Here is a 17,923-nt window from a genome sequence, read left to right as displayed (position 1 = left end):
AAACAATTGCAAATCCTAGTTTAGAAAATCTCTAGGAGTCTCTAAAATTAAATAACAATGTATTTTAGTTTGTTTGCCTATAGAAGAATGGTGAATGTGTACAAAAATAATCTTTGGCTTAGAAATTTCCAGTTTTGGCTGGGCATGGTGATTCACACCTGTAATCCCAGCACTCTGGGAGGCCAAGGTGGGCGGATCACTTGAGGTCAGGAGTTTGAGACCAGCCTGGCCGAGATGGTGAAACCCCATCTCTACGAAAAATACAAAAATTAGCTGGGTGGTGGTGGCGCACACTTGTAGTCTCAGCTACCTGGGAGGCTGAGGCAGGAGAATCACTAGAACCCAGGAAGCGGAGGTTGCAGTGAGCTGAGATCATACCACTGCACTCCAGCCTGGGCAACAGAGTGAGACTCTGTCTGAAAAAAAAAAAAAAAAAGAAAGAAAGAAAAAAAGAAATTCCCAGTCTTGGGTGATCTTCAAAGCTCTGCCCACTTGACAGCAGGTGGGATCATTTGTCAGTAAAATACTCCTCTGATTTCTTTCTATTTGAATTCATCCAAGGATCTATAATGCAAAACTCTCTTACTATTTTTGACATAAATATTATTATTCTGTACTATTTAACATTTTCATTATGGTAGTAAAACTAAAAGGCAAAGAGATTTGTGCTGAGAAATGTGTGCTATTCACAGTAGATATTACTTAAGTTCAAAGGCACGTGTGCAGCTGGATTGGACTAAGACCCTCTCAATAGTCCAAAGCTATAATTGTGTGAACCTTCTAGAATCAGACATATTTGCAAAAGATTGTCATTGCTTAAGGGTTCATGCAATAATTTATCTGATTGTTGCAAGTTTCAGACTTGCCATCATCTGGACATTCCTGTTCATCAGAGCAGTAGGAATTTTCATTTTAATTGTGGCATCGAACTCACTAATCATCTGCTACCATGGTAATCAATAGGTGTAAATATTCTAATAAACATTCATTTAAAGTCTCCAGTGAATTAAGATGCTATTTAAATGAAAAACAATACATTGATATAGGTCAGTGTGTTGCCTCTCCCTTGGTGTGCTTACTAATTTACCAAATGCACTCTGTATGCGTCTAATGGTAAAGGAAAAGTACTAGGGGCTCTTTTTAATGTGTTAACTGAGAAGAAGCCTAGTTTTTTTAGCCCATTAACAAAAGCTATTACTATATCTCCCCTAAAATACTGGCAGATCAGCCAAGGCAACATAGTGGGACCCCATGTCTACAAAACAAACAAACAAACAAACAAACAAAATTAGCCAGGGGCGGTGGCACGCACCTGTAGTCCCAGCTACTTTTGGAGGCTGAGGCGGGAGGATCACTTGAGGCAAGGAGGTTGAGGCTGCAGTGAGCCGTGGTAACATCACTACATTCCAGCCTGCATAACAGAGTGAGACCCTGTCTCAAAAAATAGTAATAAATAAAATAGGTCTGGCATAGTGGCTCACGCCTGTAATCCCAACACTTTGGGAGGCCGAGGCAGGTAGATCACCTGAAGTCAGGAGCTCAAGACCAGCCTGGCCAACATGGCAAAACCCAGTCTCTACTAAAAATACAAAAATTAGCTGGGCACTGTGGCAGGCACCTGTAATCCCAGATACTTTTGGAGGCTGAGGGAGGAGAATCACTTGAAACTGGGAGGCAGGGGTTGCAGTGAGCCGAGATCACACCACTGCATTCCAGCCTGGGCAACAGAGTGAGACTCCATCTCAAAAAATAAGTAAATAAAGGCCAAGAGTGGTGGCTCATGTCTGTAAACCCAGCACTTTGGGAGGCCGAGGTGGTGGATCACCCAAGGTCAGGAGTTTGAGTCCAGCCAGACCAACATGGCGAAACCCCATCTCTACTAAAAATACAAAATTAGCTGGGCATGGTGGTGGGCACCTGTAATCCCAGCTACTTGGGAGGTTGAGGCAGGAGAATCACTTGAACCCAAGAGGTGGAGGTTGCAGAGAGCCAAGATCATGCCATTGCACTCCAGCTTGGGCGGCAAGAGTGAAACTCCATCTCAAAATGATAAATAATAAAGTAAATAAATAAATAAATAAAATTAAATTAAAATACTGGCAGATTGCCCTTCCTACATTGTAAGCTTCTTGGAGACACAGATCATGTCATATTATTAATGCTGTAATTCTGTCAGTGCCTAACATGCTGCCTTGCATTTCATTAAATGGCTTAAACTGTTGTTTAAGCCATGCAATTTATGGCATTTTGTTATAGCATATGAAGACAATTATTAATACAATAATTTAAATTCTACCTACCAAATTATAGCTATTTTATTTATTAAAACCTCTCTTTAGCCAAGTGTAGTAATGCACATCTGTAGTCCCATCTACCTGGGAGGCTGAGGCAGGAGGATTGCTTGATCCTGGGACATGGGGGCTGCAGTGAGCCGTGATCACACCACTGCACTACATCCTGGGTGACAGAGCGAGACCCTGTCTCAAAAAAGAAAAAAAAGAAAAAAACTTCTCTCTTGTCTTCAGTTTTCTTTTTTTGTTTCTTTTTTTCTTTTTTTTTTTTTTTTTTGAGACGGAGTCTCACTCTGTTACCCAGGCTGGAGTGCAATGGCTCGATCTCGGCTCACTGCAGCCTCCACCTCCCGGGTTCAAGCAATTCTCTTGCCACAGCCTCCCAAGTATCTGGGATTACAGTCGCCCACAACTACATCTGGCTAATTTTTCTATCTTTAGTAGACATGGGGTTTCACCATGTTGGCCAGGCTGCTCTCAAACTCCTGAGCTCAGGTGATCTGCCCGCCTCAGCCTCCCAAAGTGCTGGGATTACAGGCGTGAGCCACTGCGCCTGCCCAATTTTTTGTATTTTTAGTAGAGATGGGATTTTACCATGTTGGCCAGGCTGGTCTCGATCTCCTGACCTCGTGATCTGCCCGCCTCAGCCTCCCAAAGTGCCAGGATTACAGGCATGAGCCACCGCACCCAGCCTCTTGTCTTCAGTTTTCTGAACTGTACAATGAGGGAAACGTCTTCTAGTGACACTTGAAAATCCATGAAATGCCTTACAAATGCAAAGCATTAATAATTTTATTATAGGTGTAAAAGTCCTATGAGAGGTCAGGATTGCTAAATATATAATCGTATTTCAAACAAGATGTGCTTAGCTCAAACAAGAGATTATTCTATCAGAAGGATAATCACAGATCATCAGAGGCAAATGCATTGGTATCTGCACTTTTCATGTAAAACTGAAGTCTGTTGCTTTAGACATGACAGTCTTGCTCATAATAACCATATTAAACATAGCTTCTTTTTGCTGGGCATGTTGGTGCATGCCTGTAGTCCCAGTTACTCAGGAGGCTGAGACAGGAAGATTGTTTGAACCGAGGAGTTTCAGTCTATAGCATGGTATGATTGCACTTGTAAATAATCACTATATTCTAGCACGGGCAGCATAGTGAGACCCCCATCTCTAAAAAAGTAAAAACAAACAAAGAAAAAACTTATTTTAAAAATAGGCTTTAAAAAATGTAGCGTATTAGCCAGGAGCAGTGGCTCACACCTGTAATCCCAGCACTTTAGAAGGGTGAGGCGGGTGGATTGCTTGAGCCCAGGAGTTTGAGACCAGCCTGGGCAACATGGGAAGACCCCTGTCTCTACAAAATATACAAAAATTCTCAGGGCATGGTCGTGTGCACCCGTGGTACCAGCTACTTAGGGGCCTGAGGTGGGAGGATTGTTTGAGCCCGGGTGGTTGAGACTGCAGTGAGCCGTGATTGAGCCACTGCATTCCAGCCTGGGTGACAGAGTGAGACCCTGTCCAAAAAAAATTTTTTTAAGCAATAAAATAAATAGCATTTAAATAAATTTATAATAACAAAATGGAGTTTAAACAGTAAAATTTATTATATGAATAATAAACAACAATAAAATGGCAAATAACTTCTTTTAAAATGTAATATAGGCTGGGCGCAGTGGCTCATGCCTGTAATCCCAGCACTTTCGGAGGCCGAGGCGTGCAGATCATCTGAGGTCAGGAGTTCGAGACCAGCCTGGCTAAAATGGTGAAACCCCATTTTACTAAAAATACAAAAAATTAGCCAGGTGTGGTGGTGTGCACCTGTAATCCAAGCTACTCGGGAGGCTGAGGCAGGAGGATCACTTGAACCTGGGAGGTGGAGGTTGCAGTGAGTCGAGATGGCTTCATTTCACTATGGCTTGGGCAACAAGGGCAAAACTCCATCTCCAAAAAAAAAAGTAATGTAGCTTAGATTTTTGTTTTGTTCTGTTCTGTTTTTGAGACAGAATCTTGCTCTGCCGCCCAGGCTAGAGTACAGTGGAATGGTCTCGGCTCCCTGAAACCTCTGTCTCCCGGGTTCAAGTGATTCTCCTGCCTCAGCCTCCCGAATAGCTGGGATTATAGGTGCACACCACCGCACTCAGCTAAATTTTGTAATTTTTGGTGGAGATGGGGTTTCACCGTGTTGGCCAGGCTGGTCTCAAACTCCTGCTCAAGTAATCCATCCACCTTTGCCTCCCAAAATGCTGGGATTACAGGTGTGAGTCACCGCGCCTGACCTATAGCTTAGATTTCTTAAAAGTAAAAGATGTATTGCTAATAGGTAGCTTGATGGAGAAAAGAAGTACTGTTTGCTGAGGTTTTTTGTTTGTTTGTTTTTTTGTTTTTGAGATGGAGTCTCATTCTGCCGCCCAGGCTGGAGTACAGTGGCATGACCACAGCTCACTGCAGCCTCAACCTCCTGGCCTCAAGCAATCCTCCCACCTCAGCCCCCCAAGTAGCTGGTACCACAGGTGCACACCACCACACCCTGCTAATTTTTGTATTTTTTGTAGAGACAGGGTTTCACCATGCTGCCCACACTTGGTCTCAAATGCCTGGGCTCAAGGGATGCATGCATCTTGGCCTCCCAAAGTGCTGGGATTACAGGCATGAGCCACCACACCCAGCCTGTCTTTGACCTTTACATAATGGAATCATGCTCTATATATTTTTCTGTGATAGTTTTTTCCCCATTTAGCATTTTTGAGGTTCTCATCCATATTCATGCCTACCGCTATGGTTTACCCATTTTCACTGCTGTATAGTGTTTCAATTTTAGTTTTTGTTTTTGTTTTTGCTTTTTGAGACAGAGTCTCACTCTATCGCCCAGGCTGAAGTGCAGTGACGTGATCTCGGTTCACTGCAACCTCCGCCTCTTGGGTTCAAGTGATTCTCATGCCTCAGCCCCCTGAATAGCTGGAATTACAGGCACACACACACCCAGCTAATTTTCGTTATTTTTTTAGTAGAGACAGGGTTTCACCCTGTTGGCCAGCTGGTCTCGAACTCCTGACCTCAGGTGATCCACCCACCTCAGCCTCCCAAAATACTGGGATTACAGGCGTAAGCCACCATGCCCGGCCTGTGTTTAGTGTTTTTAATACACTACAGTTTTATCCTTCTATGACGTTTCCAGGTTTTGCTATTATGAACACTTTAGCCAAGAAATTCCCACATATGTTTGTTGGTGTTTGTGCCAAAGTTTCTCTAAGGTAAATACATAGGAGTGAAATTGCTGGATTAGAAATGACATTTTCAATTTTTAAGACAATACCAAATTTTTATCCAAAGTCATTAGCAAAATTTCAGTCACATCAAGAGTGTATAAGGGGCCGGGCGCGGTGGCTCACGCTTGTAATCCCAGCACTTTGGGAGGCCGAGGCGGGCGGATCACGAGGTCAAGAGATCGAGACCATCCTGGCTAACACGGTGAAACCCCGTCTCTACTAAAAATACAAAAAAAATAGCCGGGCGTGATGGTGGGCGCCTGTAGTCCCAGCTACTCGGGAGGCTGAGGCAGGAGAATGGCGTGAACCCGGGAGGCGGAGCTTGCAGTGAGCCGAGATTGCGCCACTGCGCTCCCGCCTGGGCCACAGAGCGAGACTCCGTCTCAAAAAAAAAAAAAAAAAAAAAGAGTGTATAAGGGTTTCTGTGACTCTATTTCCTCACCAACATCAAAAATTGACTGATTTTAGGTCGGGCATGATGACTTATCCCTGGAATCCCAGCATTTTTGGAGGCCCAGGCAGGAGGAACACTTGAGGCCAGGAGATGAAGACCAACCTGGGCAATATAGTGAGACCCTGTCTCTCAATTTTTTTTTAAATTGACTTCTGTAAGCCAGGGTTGATGAATTTAAAATTTTTTTTTATTGAAAAATGTTTGGTTGGGCACAGTGGCTCACACAGTGGATATGGGATCTTGCTCTGTCACCCAGGCTGGAGTGCAGTGGCACAATCACAGCTCACTGCAGGCTCAATCTCCTGAGCTCAAATGATCCTCCCAGCTCAGCCTCCTGAATAGCTGGGACCACAGGTATGTGCCACCCCTTTTCTTTATTTCGGTAAAAACAGTGTCTCACTATGTTGTCCAGGCTGGTCCCAAACTCCCTGGCTCAAGTGATCCTCCTGCTTTAGCCTCCCAAAGTGCTGGGATTACAGACATAAGCCACTGTGCCCAGCCATCATTTTATACTTATTTGAATATTTATGACTGGTTAGCTAAAAAACTATTCAATGAAGCTTTCATCCACAGGAATTTACAAGAAATTCTCCAAAATACTCAGTTATCACTGAGGACTAATGTGCCACCAGAGGGAGCCCAAAGAGGTCGATGAATGTGGCATAGTAGCATTCAAGTCCACACAGGATAGGGGAGTTTAGCTTTACTTAACATTTTTATGGGTATTTTTCACTATTGCTTACATCAAGATCTTGGAGTTTTAATGTATTTTTGCAGTATGTCACATCTTTCCCCCGGTATTTCATTATTTTAATTTTGTTTTTCCATATGACTATGTACAATAAGACATCATGAGATGAAATAACTAGTTCAATATTATACATAAGCCTGGGCAACATGATAAGACACTGTCTCTACAAAAGATAAAAATAAAAAATAATTAGCCAGGCATGATGGCACACCTGTGGTCCCAGCTACTTGGGAGGCTGAGGCAGGAGGATTGCTTGTCCGCGGAGGTCAAGGCTGCAGTGAGCTGTGATTGTGCCACTGCACTCCAGTCAGGACAACAGAGCAAGACCATCTCAAATATATATATATGTTGCCCCTAGAATTTTTTTTTGAGACAGGATCTGGCTCTGTTGCCCAGGCTAGAGTGCAGTGACACAATCTTGGCTCACTGCAACCTCCACCTCCTGGGCTTAAGTGATCCTCCCGCCTCAGCCTCCTGAGTAACTGGGACCACAGGTGCATGCCACCACACTCAGCTGATTTTTCTTTTTCTTTCTTTTTTTTTTTTTTTAGAGACAGGGTTTCACCTTGTTGCCCAGGTGAGTCTTTTTTTTTTTTTTTGAGATGGAGTCTCGCTCTGTTGCCCAGGCTGGAGTGCAGTGGCGCGATCTCGACTCACTGCAAACTCCACCTCCCGGGTTCACGCCATTCACCTGTCTCAGCCTCCCGAAGTAGCTGGGACTACCGGCGCCCGCCACCACGCCCAGCTAATTTTTTTGTATTTTTAGTAGAGACGGGGTTTCACCATGTTAGCCAAGATGGTCTCGATCTCCTGACCTCATGATCTGCCTGTCTCGGCCTCCCAAAGTGCGGGATTACAGGCGTGAGCCACTGTGCCTGGTCTCCAGGTGAGTCTTGAACTCCTGAGCTCAAGCAATTTGCCTGCCTTGGCCTCCCAAAGTGCTGGGATTACAGGCATGAGCCAACATGCCTGGCCTACCCCTGTAATATTTAATGGCCTTCCTGATTCTCTATTCTTAGATTGTTCCCCAGGCACTACAGTCTTGACCTATCTCTAGATGCTGGAACCAATTCTGAAAGTGGAAGTTTACTTCATCGCTCTGGTTACTTCCTACAAGTTAAGCTTGTTTTATTCTAATCTTTTTTAAAACATTTTTTTAGAGATGAGGTCTCACTGTATTGCCCAGGCTGGTCTCAAACTCCTGGGCTCAAGCCATCCTCTTGCCCTGGCTTTCCAAAGTGCTGGGCTTAAAGGTGTAAGCCACCATGCTCAACCTGTCCTCTTCTAATCTTATTGGCTAGACCTAGTAATAGGATTCTGCCACCTCCTAAATCCTCATTGCAATTAATATGTCTTGTGTTTTGTTCTTCATCATCTAGGTGCCTGTCTGAAAACCAGTTCCTCTATGACTGTGATCTCCAAGTGATCACAGTCTTGTCCTGGAAGCCAGACTAGTGATATGCACCTTGTACCTTGCTCCTCAAGGCACCAACAAATAGGAATCCAGAGCAACTTTCTTAGCTGGAGGTTTAGTTTGTTTGTTTGTTTTATCCACACTGTTTCTGGGACAGGGGCTAATCCTACAATACGGACAGGCTACAGGCCAAGACCTTTGGCTGCTTCTTTCTTTGTCCTGGCTGCTAAGAGTTTGAAAAACAATTTTATGTTTGATTGCTATAGATTTTCTTTAGCAGCAACTGAGCAAAAAAGTTTCCTGATACATTTTCATCTATTTATTGAACTAATGAGGCTCTATGCTATGCACTTTGGAATATGGTAATATATAAGATTGACAAAGTCCCTGCCATTAAGAGTTTATAGTCTAGCAGGGGTTTAAGGCATCAAACAAGTTTTAACTGGGTAAGTACTAAAAAAGGGAATGACCCAAAGGAGGTTTACAACATGAAGGCTTAATCTCAGCTAACTGACGTTTTTTACTGGATTTTTGCCTTTAATTGTGGGGTGGTTTGTCACTTGTTTTGTTGTTATAATTTAATTTTACTTCAAGTCAACTCAAATTCTTTCAGTTGTAGGCAGAGATGTGTTTGCGTGTGTAATCATACAATTTTTTTTTTTTTGAGACATGGTCTCACTTCATCACCCAGGCTGGATTGCAGTGGCATGATCATGGCTACTGCAGTCTCGACCTCCTAGGCTCAAGCGATCCCACCTCAGCCTCCCAAGTAGCTGGGACTACAGAGGTGCCACCAAAGCCCAGCTGATTTTTTGTATTTTTTGTTAAGACGGGGTTTCACCATGCTGCCTAGGCTGGTCCTGAACTCCTGCGCTCAAGCAATCTGCCCACCTTGACTTCCCAAAGTGCTGGGATTACAGGCGTGAGCTACTGTGCCCAGCTTACACAATGGCTTTCATATATCCCTCCTTTCACAAAAAAATGTGAAATGATGTATCATGGGGGATATTCATTGCAATTTCTGAGATGAGTTTTTATTAATTCAAATAGTGGCTTAACAAATGGACACTAATCACTACAGAAGCTGATTCAATACAAAAAGATAGAATATGAGGGTGATAGTGCAAACGCTTAGGCAATTTAGAATGCAGGCAGAAGAAAGGAAAAAGGATTACTTGCACACAGGGGCCAGGCAAGTAACATACATGACTGAACCAGGTAAGGCTGGGACATGGTGGACCAGAGAGGGTTCAAGTGACTGCCATGTAGGAATCAGGGCCCAGTGTGGCCACGGCATCCCAATCTATAAGAGAAGCTAGAATTTCGATTTTTATATGAAATTCTCTATTTTTAATGTCAAATAACTTAATTTAAATGATTTTGCATAAGATGAGATACATGCACAATTTTAAAAAACTAAGAAAAATTTAAAAAATAAAAAATTGGCCGGTCACAGTGGCTCATGCCTGTAATCCCAGCACTTTGGGAGGCAGACGTGGGCGGATTACTTGAGGTCAGGAGTTCAAGACCAGCCTAGACAACATGGTGAAACCCCATCCCTACTAAAAAAAAATACAAAAATTAACTGGGCGTGTTGGCTGGCGCCTGAAATCCCAGCTACTTGGGAGGCTAAGGCAGGAGAATTGCTTGAACTGGGAGGTGGAGATTGCAGTGAGCCGAGATTGCGCCACTGCACTCCAGCCTGGGCGACAGAGCCAGACTCCATCTCAAAAAAAAAAAAAGATAAAAAAAATAAAAGATTGTGCAGGCTGAACAAAACGCCCCTGCCATTTTGGCATATTTAATTTATTTTCTTATTTTTATTTTTTATTTTATTGACTCTGCTTGATATGGTGTATTTAATTTAGACTCTAAATTTTATGATAACTTTCTAATCATGGACTCACCAACTTCTGCCCATTGCATCTTGTTTCCTCTGGTGTTTTACTCATCCCTGTCTCCTCTGTACTACCTACCTTCAATCCCAACGTCATTCACTGGCTTCCAGTATCATTAAGTGATTCCGCTAACAAAGAAGGAGATCTAAGGCCTTTTGTCCCTCTCTCCCCAGAGAGGTTTTCTTTAGAGGGAAGGGGAGTGAGTGGGAGAGGTGAAATACAAGGTTTTCTTTTCTTCCCCTGAAGTGGTCTACAGACTGAAAAGTTTAAACAACGTTGTCCCAGAATTTCCTTCCTGTCTGGAGAACAGTACACCTAGAAGAATAATTAATGGAGCTCTTTGCCACTGCTAAACCTGCACTTCTGGAGTCTTGTCACATTGCACAGCTCCCTGCCACTGGATAACTGTATATGGTACAATACTTAACCACACAACAACAAAGAAACTGCTCCCCAGGTGACACCAGCTGTTCCAGGAGCTTTTTTTAGTATCACAGGGATGATGCTTTACTTTCAGGCAAACAAGTATTCAACATTTAGCATTATACATACTCCTGGAAAAAGAATTCCACTATTGGCTGGGAGCAGTGGCTCATGCCTGCAATCCCAGCACTTTGGGATGCTGAGGCGGGCGGATCACTTGAGGTCAGGGGTTCAAGACCAGCCTGGCCAACATGGTGAAACCCTGTCTCCACTAAAAATACAAAAAATTAGCCAGGTGTGATAGCAGGAACCTGTAATCCCAACTACTCGGGAGGCTGAGGCAGGAGAATTGCCTGAGCCCAGGAGGCGGAGGTTGCAGTGAGCCGAGATCATGCCACTGCACTCCAGTCTGGGTGACAGAGCAAGACTCTCTTAAAAAAAAAAAAAAAAATCCACTCAAGAGATTTTTATCCATGCAAGAGTAGTTAGGTGGTACCAATGGCAGATATATATGTTTACTTATTTATTGAGACAGGGTCTTGCTCTGTCACCCAGGTGGCAGTGCAGTGGCACAATCATGGTTCACTGCAGCCTCAATCTCTTGGCTCAAGCAATCCTCCTGCCTTAGCCTCTTGAGTAGCTGGGACTACAGGCGTGCACCAACACACCTGGCCAGGGCAGATATAATTTTTTTACAAAATAGATTATTTATTGAAGATGCAAAATGAAACTTAATGTTTCGCAGCAATCCTATGTAAGTCCAGATATGGTCAGAAGACATTATTTTTCAAATTCTGTCTTTTCATTAGTCTTAACTCAACCATTATTACTAGAGTTTCATATTTCTTGTTGTTTTTTAAAAGTCGATGACATATGGGCTGGGTGTGGTGGCTCACACCTGTAATCCCAGCACTCTGGGAGGCCGAGGCAGGCGGATCATGAGGTCAGGAGATCGAGACCATCCTGGTTAACACAGTGAAACCCTGTCTCTACTAAAAAATACAAAAACAAAATTAGCCGGGCATGGTGGCGGGCACCTGTAGTCTCAGCTACTCGGGAGGCTGAGGTGGGAGAATGGTGTGAACCCAGGAGGCGGAGCTTGCAGTGAGCCGAGATCGCACCACTGCACTCCAGCCTGGGTGACAGAGTGAGGCTCCATCTCAAAACAAAAAACAAAAAACAAGTCTATCGCATATGAGTATGAATTTGAGAAATCTTAGCAAAAAGCAAAAAAGATGGAATAGTGTATATGCCTCTTCTCTAGCTACTTGTTTTCAGATCCATCCCTTGCCCTTCTGCTACTCTGCTCTTTATCACAAGAAACTATTTTCCCCAAACTCCCTTGCCCTTGACCTACCCCTGGGCTTAGTCATGGTGAAAAGTTAGAGGATGGAAGGAAGAGGAAAGGTGGGATTTCTCCCCCTCTCTCCCGTACCCTTAGAACAGCCCCTTCCTCAGGGGCTCCTGCTCCTCCTTGACCCCCTGGCTGTAGCTCCTGAGGATGATGACACGTAGGGGTGGTTGTGGCTTTCTGCTGATGTTAACTCTGAGTTGCTTCACTGTCCACTTTGTTTTGTTTTGTTTTGAGACAAGGTCTTACTCTGTTGCCCACTCCGGAATGCAGTGACACAATCACAGCTCACTGTAACCTCGACCTCTCCAGCTCAAGCAGTCTGCCCACCTCAGCCTCCCAAGTAGCTGGGGCCACAGGTGTGCGCCACCACGCCCAGCTAATTTTTAAATTTTTTGGACATAGGGAGGGGAACATCACACACTGGGGCCTGTTGTGGGGTGGGGCACAAAGGGAAGGAGAGCATTAGGACAAATACCTAAGGCATGCAGTGCTTAAAACCTAGATGACAGGTTGATGGGTACAGCAAACCACCATGGCACATGTATACCTATGTAACAAACCTGTACGTTCTGCACATGTATCCTAGAACTTAAAGTAAAATAAATCAAAAAAAAAAAAAAAAGAGTCAAAAGAACAGATTTTTTTTTTTAAGAGATGGAGGCGGGGGCGGGGGGCAGGGGGTGGTCCCACTATGTTGCCCAGCCTGGTCTCGAACTCCTGGGCCCAAGCAGTCCTCCCGCTATGGCCTCTCAAAGTGCTGGGATTATAGGCGTGAGCCATTGCAGCTGGCCCTCACTGTCCACTTTGAACTTCTTAGCCTCAGCTGTTCATCCCTCGTGTAAACAATTCCCTGAACTAGTTTCTCTCTTTCAAACAGTGGCTTCTATGTTTCTGACTGGACTTTCACGGATACAAACAGTGGGGCTCTTTGCAAAACACTCTTCTAAGCTTTCAGGTATATGTCATTAATCCAGTCTGTAGACTCACATGTATGTCAGTTTTATCTGTGACCAGACATTCCCAGATTAAGTCATATTTTCTACTTATGCCTAACAGCTAGCCCCCAAATTTTAATTCTCCTGGACTGATGCCAGTGAATTCCATTTTACAAATTTGTTTTGAGTTATCTATATTGCCTTCCTTTTAAAATTTCTTGGGAAGACAAAAGTTTAGAACTCAGTTGTAAATTAAAATATGATTCAGGGCCAGGTGCAGTGGTTCACTCCTGTAATCCTAGCACTTTGGAAGGCAGAGGCAGGAGGATCGCTTCAGGTGAACCCTTGAGGGGAGACCAGCCTGGGCAACATAGGGCAAGTCCCCATCTCTACAAAAAATAAAAAATAAATTAGCTGGGCATGAGGGCATGCGCTCTTGTGGTTCCAGCTACTGGGGAGGCAGAGGTGGGAGAATTACTTGAGCCTGGGAGTTTGAGGCTGTACTGAGCTATAATCATGCCATTGCACTCCTGCCTGGGGGACAGAACAAGACCTTGTCTTTTTTTAGGTCTTGCTATGTTGCCCAGGCTGGGCTTGAACTCCTGGTATCAAGCAATCCTCCCGCCTCAGCCTCCCAAAGTGCTGAGATTACAGGCCTGAGCCATCATGATGGCTGGCCTTTTTATTTTTATTTTTTATAGAGACAGGGTCTCGCCATGTTACCCTGTCTAGTCTCAAACCCCTGGCCCCAAGCAATCCTCCTGCCTTGGCTTTCCAAAGTCCTGAGATTACAAGCCTGACCCACCAAACCAGGCAGAGACTCTGTCTCTTGAAAAAAAAAAGTAAACAAAATAAAGTATAAATGATTCAGGAGTTAAAATGTGCTTTATTTTGCATCTAAAAACCATGGGCATTACTTCTTTACAGTAGGCTTCCAGGAGGAAAACTCTTTTAAGGCTTTAAAAACTTTTTTGTTGGCCAGGCGTGGTGGCTCATGCCTATAATCCCAGCACTTTGGGAGGCCGAGGCAGGCGGATCACCTGAGGTCAGGAGTTTGAGACCAGCCTGACCAATATGGTGAAACCCTGTCTCTACTAAAAATGCAAAAATTAGCCAGGTGTGGTGGTGGGCGCCTGTAGTCCCAGCTACTGGAGAGGCTGAGACAGGAGAATTTCTTGAACCTGGGAGGCAGAGGTTGCAGTGAGCCAAGATTGTGCCGTAGCACTACAGGCTGGGCCACAGGTGAGACTCTGTCTCAAAACAAAACAAAACGAAAAACTTGTTTTAAATTATGTTCTATTTTAATTTCAAATTAGAAAAAGTAAAGAAAATTACAGCATAATACATCCTCATATAATCTTTGCCTGGATTCACCATTTGTTAGCATTCTACAAATTTGCATTTTTTTTCTCTCTCTTTCTGAACCATTTGAAAGTAAGTTGCAGGCATCATGACATTTCACCACTAAATAGTTCAGCGTGTTTGTCCTAAGAACAAGAACATTCTCCTGGCCATGCATGGTAGCTCACATCTGTAATCCCAGCACTTTGGGAGCTAAGGCGGGTGGATTGTTTGAGCCCAGGAGTTTGAGACTAGCCTGGGAAACATAGCAACACCCTGTCTCAATTTATTAAAAAAAAAAAAAAAAGAAAGAAAAAATTATCCTACATAACCACAATACCATATTTATGGCCAAGGCATTTAATGATCCAGTCCATTCTAGTTTCCTGAATTGTCCAAAAAAAAAAAAGTTCTTGATAGTTTTTTCTTTTCTTTTTGTCCCAATAAACTTTTTTTTTTTTTTTTTTGAGATGGAGTTTCACTCCTGTTGCCCAGGCTGGAGTGCAATGGCACGGTCTCAGCTCACTGCAACCTCTGCTTCCCAGGTTCAAGCTATTCTCCTGCCTCAGCCTCCCAAGTAACTGGGATTACAGGCATGTACCACCACGCCCGGCTAATTTTTTGTGTTTTTAGTAGAGACGGGGTTTCTCCATGTTGGTCAAGGCTGGTCTGAAACTCCCAACCTCAGGTGATTCGCCTGCCTCGGTCTCCCAAAAGTGCTGGGATTACAGGCGTGAGCCACCGCGCCTGGCCACTTTAACTTGCTTTCTATAGGAATCTTCTATCGTAGGATCATATTTTTCAACAAAAATTCATTGAACAAATTGTACAGTCAAAGCAGACTTTCCAACGCCTCCTGAGTCAAGAACGACTAGCTTATATTCACACATGATGCAAACTTGTCAAAACCTATTACCTCTCACGCTGTCACTGGGTCCCCGCAGCCAGCGTCACCCCGTGCCGCTCCCCGCGGGTCGCTACTCTGGTCGTCACGGCGGTCCTGCAGCTGCCGCCGCCGCTCGGGCTGGTTTACACGCCTGACTCTGGGAGAGGTTTGGCAATGTCCTGAACACTTTCACTGTAGTAGATGCTGATGGAATTCATGACGTGCTATCCCAAAATACAACACCTTGGCATTTGAGAAGATAGCAGAAGGAGGAGGCTCATTCTCACCTTTCCCCTTTTTTCTCCAGAAGCAGGTCATAAAGCCGAAAAGGACATTTCTGCCTTTCTCTGAAGCAGGTCATAAGTCCCTCATTAGAGAAGTATTCTCCCTATACCTGAAGAAAAGGAACATCCTTATCTATGAAGACACAGGAACTCAGAGAAGAATCTGAACAAACAGGCCTTGCAAAATGCCCTCCAGCTTCCTGCCATTAGATCATACCTCCTTTTTCCGGCCATACTTCTCCATAACTATCCACTTCTTCATCAGATCTAGCATAAAAACATTTCTGTTTAACTGTTGCTTCGGTTCTTCATTTCCTTATGAAGGCTCCGCATCACGTAAAACTTACGTTAAATAAATGTGTATGCTTTTCTCTTGTTAATCTATTTTTTGTTACGGGGTCTCAGTCATGAACCTTAGGTAGGAAGGAAAATAGTTCTTTCACCCTGCAGTACCGTGGATCAAAAAGAAAAAAAACACACACACATAGTCTCAGTCATGTTTTATTTGTTTTTGTTTGTTTGTTTGTTTTGAGACGGAGTTTTGCTCTTGTCCCCCAGGCTGGAGTGCAATGGCACGATCTTGGCTCACTGCAACCTCCGCCTCCCAGGTTCAAGCGATTCTCCTGCCTCAGCCTCCCAAGTAGCTGGGACTACAGGCGTCCACCACCACACCCAGCTAATTTTTGTATTTTTAGTAGAGACAGGGTTGCACCATGTTGGCCAGGCTGGTCTCTAGTTCCTGACCTCACATGATCTACCCATCTCAGCCTCCCAAAGTGCTGGGATTACAGGCGTGAGCCATGGTGCCCGGCCTCAGTCACATTTTATTTTAAAGGAACAATTATATCATAATGCTTTTCAAAAATAGAGGTACAAGGCCAGGCGTGGTGGCTCACGCCTGTAAACCCAGCACTTTAGGAGGCTGAGGAGGGTGGATCACGAGGTCAGGAGATCAAGACTATCCTGGCCAACATGGTGAAACCCCGTCTCTACTAAAAATACAAAAATTAGCTGGGCGTGGTGGTGCACGCCTATAGTCCCAGCTACTCGGGAGGCTGAGGCAGGAGAATCACTTGAATCCGGGAGACGGAGGTTGCGGTGAGCTGAGATCATGCTGCTGCACTCCAGCCTGGCAGAAAAGCGAGACTCTGTCACAAAATAAATAAATAAATAAATAAAAATAGAGGTACAGGCCTGGCGCAGTGGCTCATGCCTGTAATCCCAGCACTTTAGGAGGCCAAGGCAGGTGGATCACTTGAGGTGAGGAGTTCGAGACCAGCCTGGGCAACAAGGCGAAACCCTGTCTCTACAAAAACTACCAAAAAATTAGCCGGACATGGTGGCACACTCCTGTGGTCCCAGCTACTCAGAAAGCTAAGGTGGGAGGATCACCTGAGGTTTCAATGAGCTGGTATCATGCCACTACACTCCAGCCTGGGCAACAGAGCAAGACTCTGTCTCAAAAAAAAAAAAATACAATATGCTATGAGGAAGCATAGGAGGGAAACTACAGGGTAGCCTCAAAAGTTTCACATCAGAAGTAATATTTGTGCTGAGTCTTAAAAAACAAGTAGAAGTGTGTCAATCCTATCTCTAACTTTCAATCTCTAAAAGAGAAGCAAAATGCAAAAACAAATCTCTATTGCAGATGGAGATTCAGAACTTTGTAAAAAAAAAAAATTTCTTTCAGTTTATTACCTCCTTGATCTTTTCTGCTTAGGATATTGACCTAACACTGAGTGGCTTAGTAAATATAAATTTAATACTTGATAAGCCTTACTCCTTAATATTTTCTTGTTTCAGTGAACAAGGTTCCTTTTCTTCAGGAACATTAGATTTTCTTCCCCCTGTGTGTGGCTCAATATTAATTTCCCATCCCCTTATCTGTGTGCCTGCCAAAAATGGAGACTACAGAGATTGGAAATACATTCTGAGCTCCTGCGTGAATTTCCTGAATTATTTCCTTATTCCTGAGGAAGGATCTCCAAGAAGGTGAAGAGAAGCAGCCAAAAATTATTTTAATTCAAACCAGCAGTGGTTGTCTTTGTACAGTGACGGCTTCCTAGATCACATGGTAAAGTAAGTCTTAGACATACTCTGTCCTTGCTCTGCCCACATCCTCTGCTTCATGGACTGTGCCTGACAGTTTCATTTTTGCTTTCAACCATTCCTATAAAATTCTAGAAAACACGATTTCGAGCAGGGATGCCAAATTTTGAACCTGACTAGTAGATAAATCCAATCCTCAAAAAAATGAATGCAAAGTATAGCACGAAGGCATGCAAAAATTTGGTTCTTACTTTTTCTGCTATTTACTCTCAAATCTTTTTTTTAAATAATGGAAATACAACATGTAAACATTTTTTTTTTTTTTTAGACAGAGTCTTACTCTGTCACCCAGGCTGGAGTGCAGTGGCGCGATCTCGGCTCACTGCAACCTCTGCCTCCTGGGTTCAAGCGATTATCCTGCCTCAGCCTCCCGAGTAGCTGGGACTACTGGTGTGTGCCACCACACTCGGCTAATTTTTGTATTTTTAGTAAGATGGAGTTTCACCTAGTTGGCCAGGCTGGTCTCGAACTCCTGACCAGCCTTGGCCTCCCAAAGTGGTGGGATTACAG

At 44.0% G+C, this 17,923-nt stretch overlaps 1 protein-coding gene across 2 annotated transcripts in view, besides 1 other annotated feature; it reads right to left on the bottom strand.

Annotated features, from left to right (window-relative positions):
* Positions 1-15,441, bottom strand: part of SYNE2 (spectrin repeat containing nuclear envelope protein 2) — a 464,854-nt gene extending 449,413 nt beyond the window's left edge. Inside the window, exon 1 of one of the 2 annotated variants that reach the window (XM_047431152.1) lies at positions 15,308-15,441. The gene's annotated coding sequence lies outside the window, so the exon portion shown is untranslated. Of the gene's footprint in view, positions 1-15,050; positions 15,191-15,307 lie in introns of those variants that run through there. The other variant, XM_011536576.3, reaches the window with a different exon arrangement.
* Positions 3,275-3,334: an enhancer, noted in NCBI's record as "active region_8518". NCBI's record gives its function as "activates an Ori minimal core promoter by ATAC-STARR-seq in GM12878 lymphoblastoid cells {active_cell/tissue: GM12878}" and the evidence as "EXISTENCE:reporter gene assay evidence [ECO:0000049][PMID:35858748]".

This window comes from Homo sapiens, chromosome 14, assembly GCF_000001405.40.
Source record: "Homo sapiens chromosome 14, GRCh38.p14 Primary Assembly".
NCBI classification, from domain to species: domain Eukaryota; kingdom Metazoa; phylum Chordata; class Mammalia; order Primates; family Hominidae; genus Homo; species Homo sapiens.
This window is presented reverse-complemented; position numbering and strand designations above follow the sequence as displayed.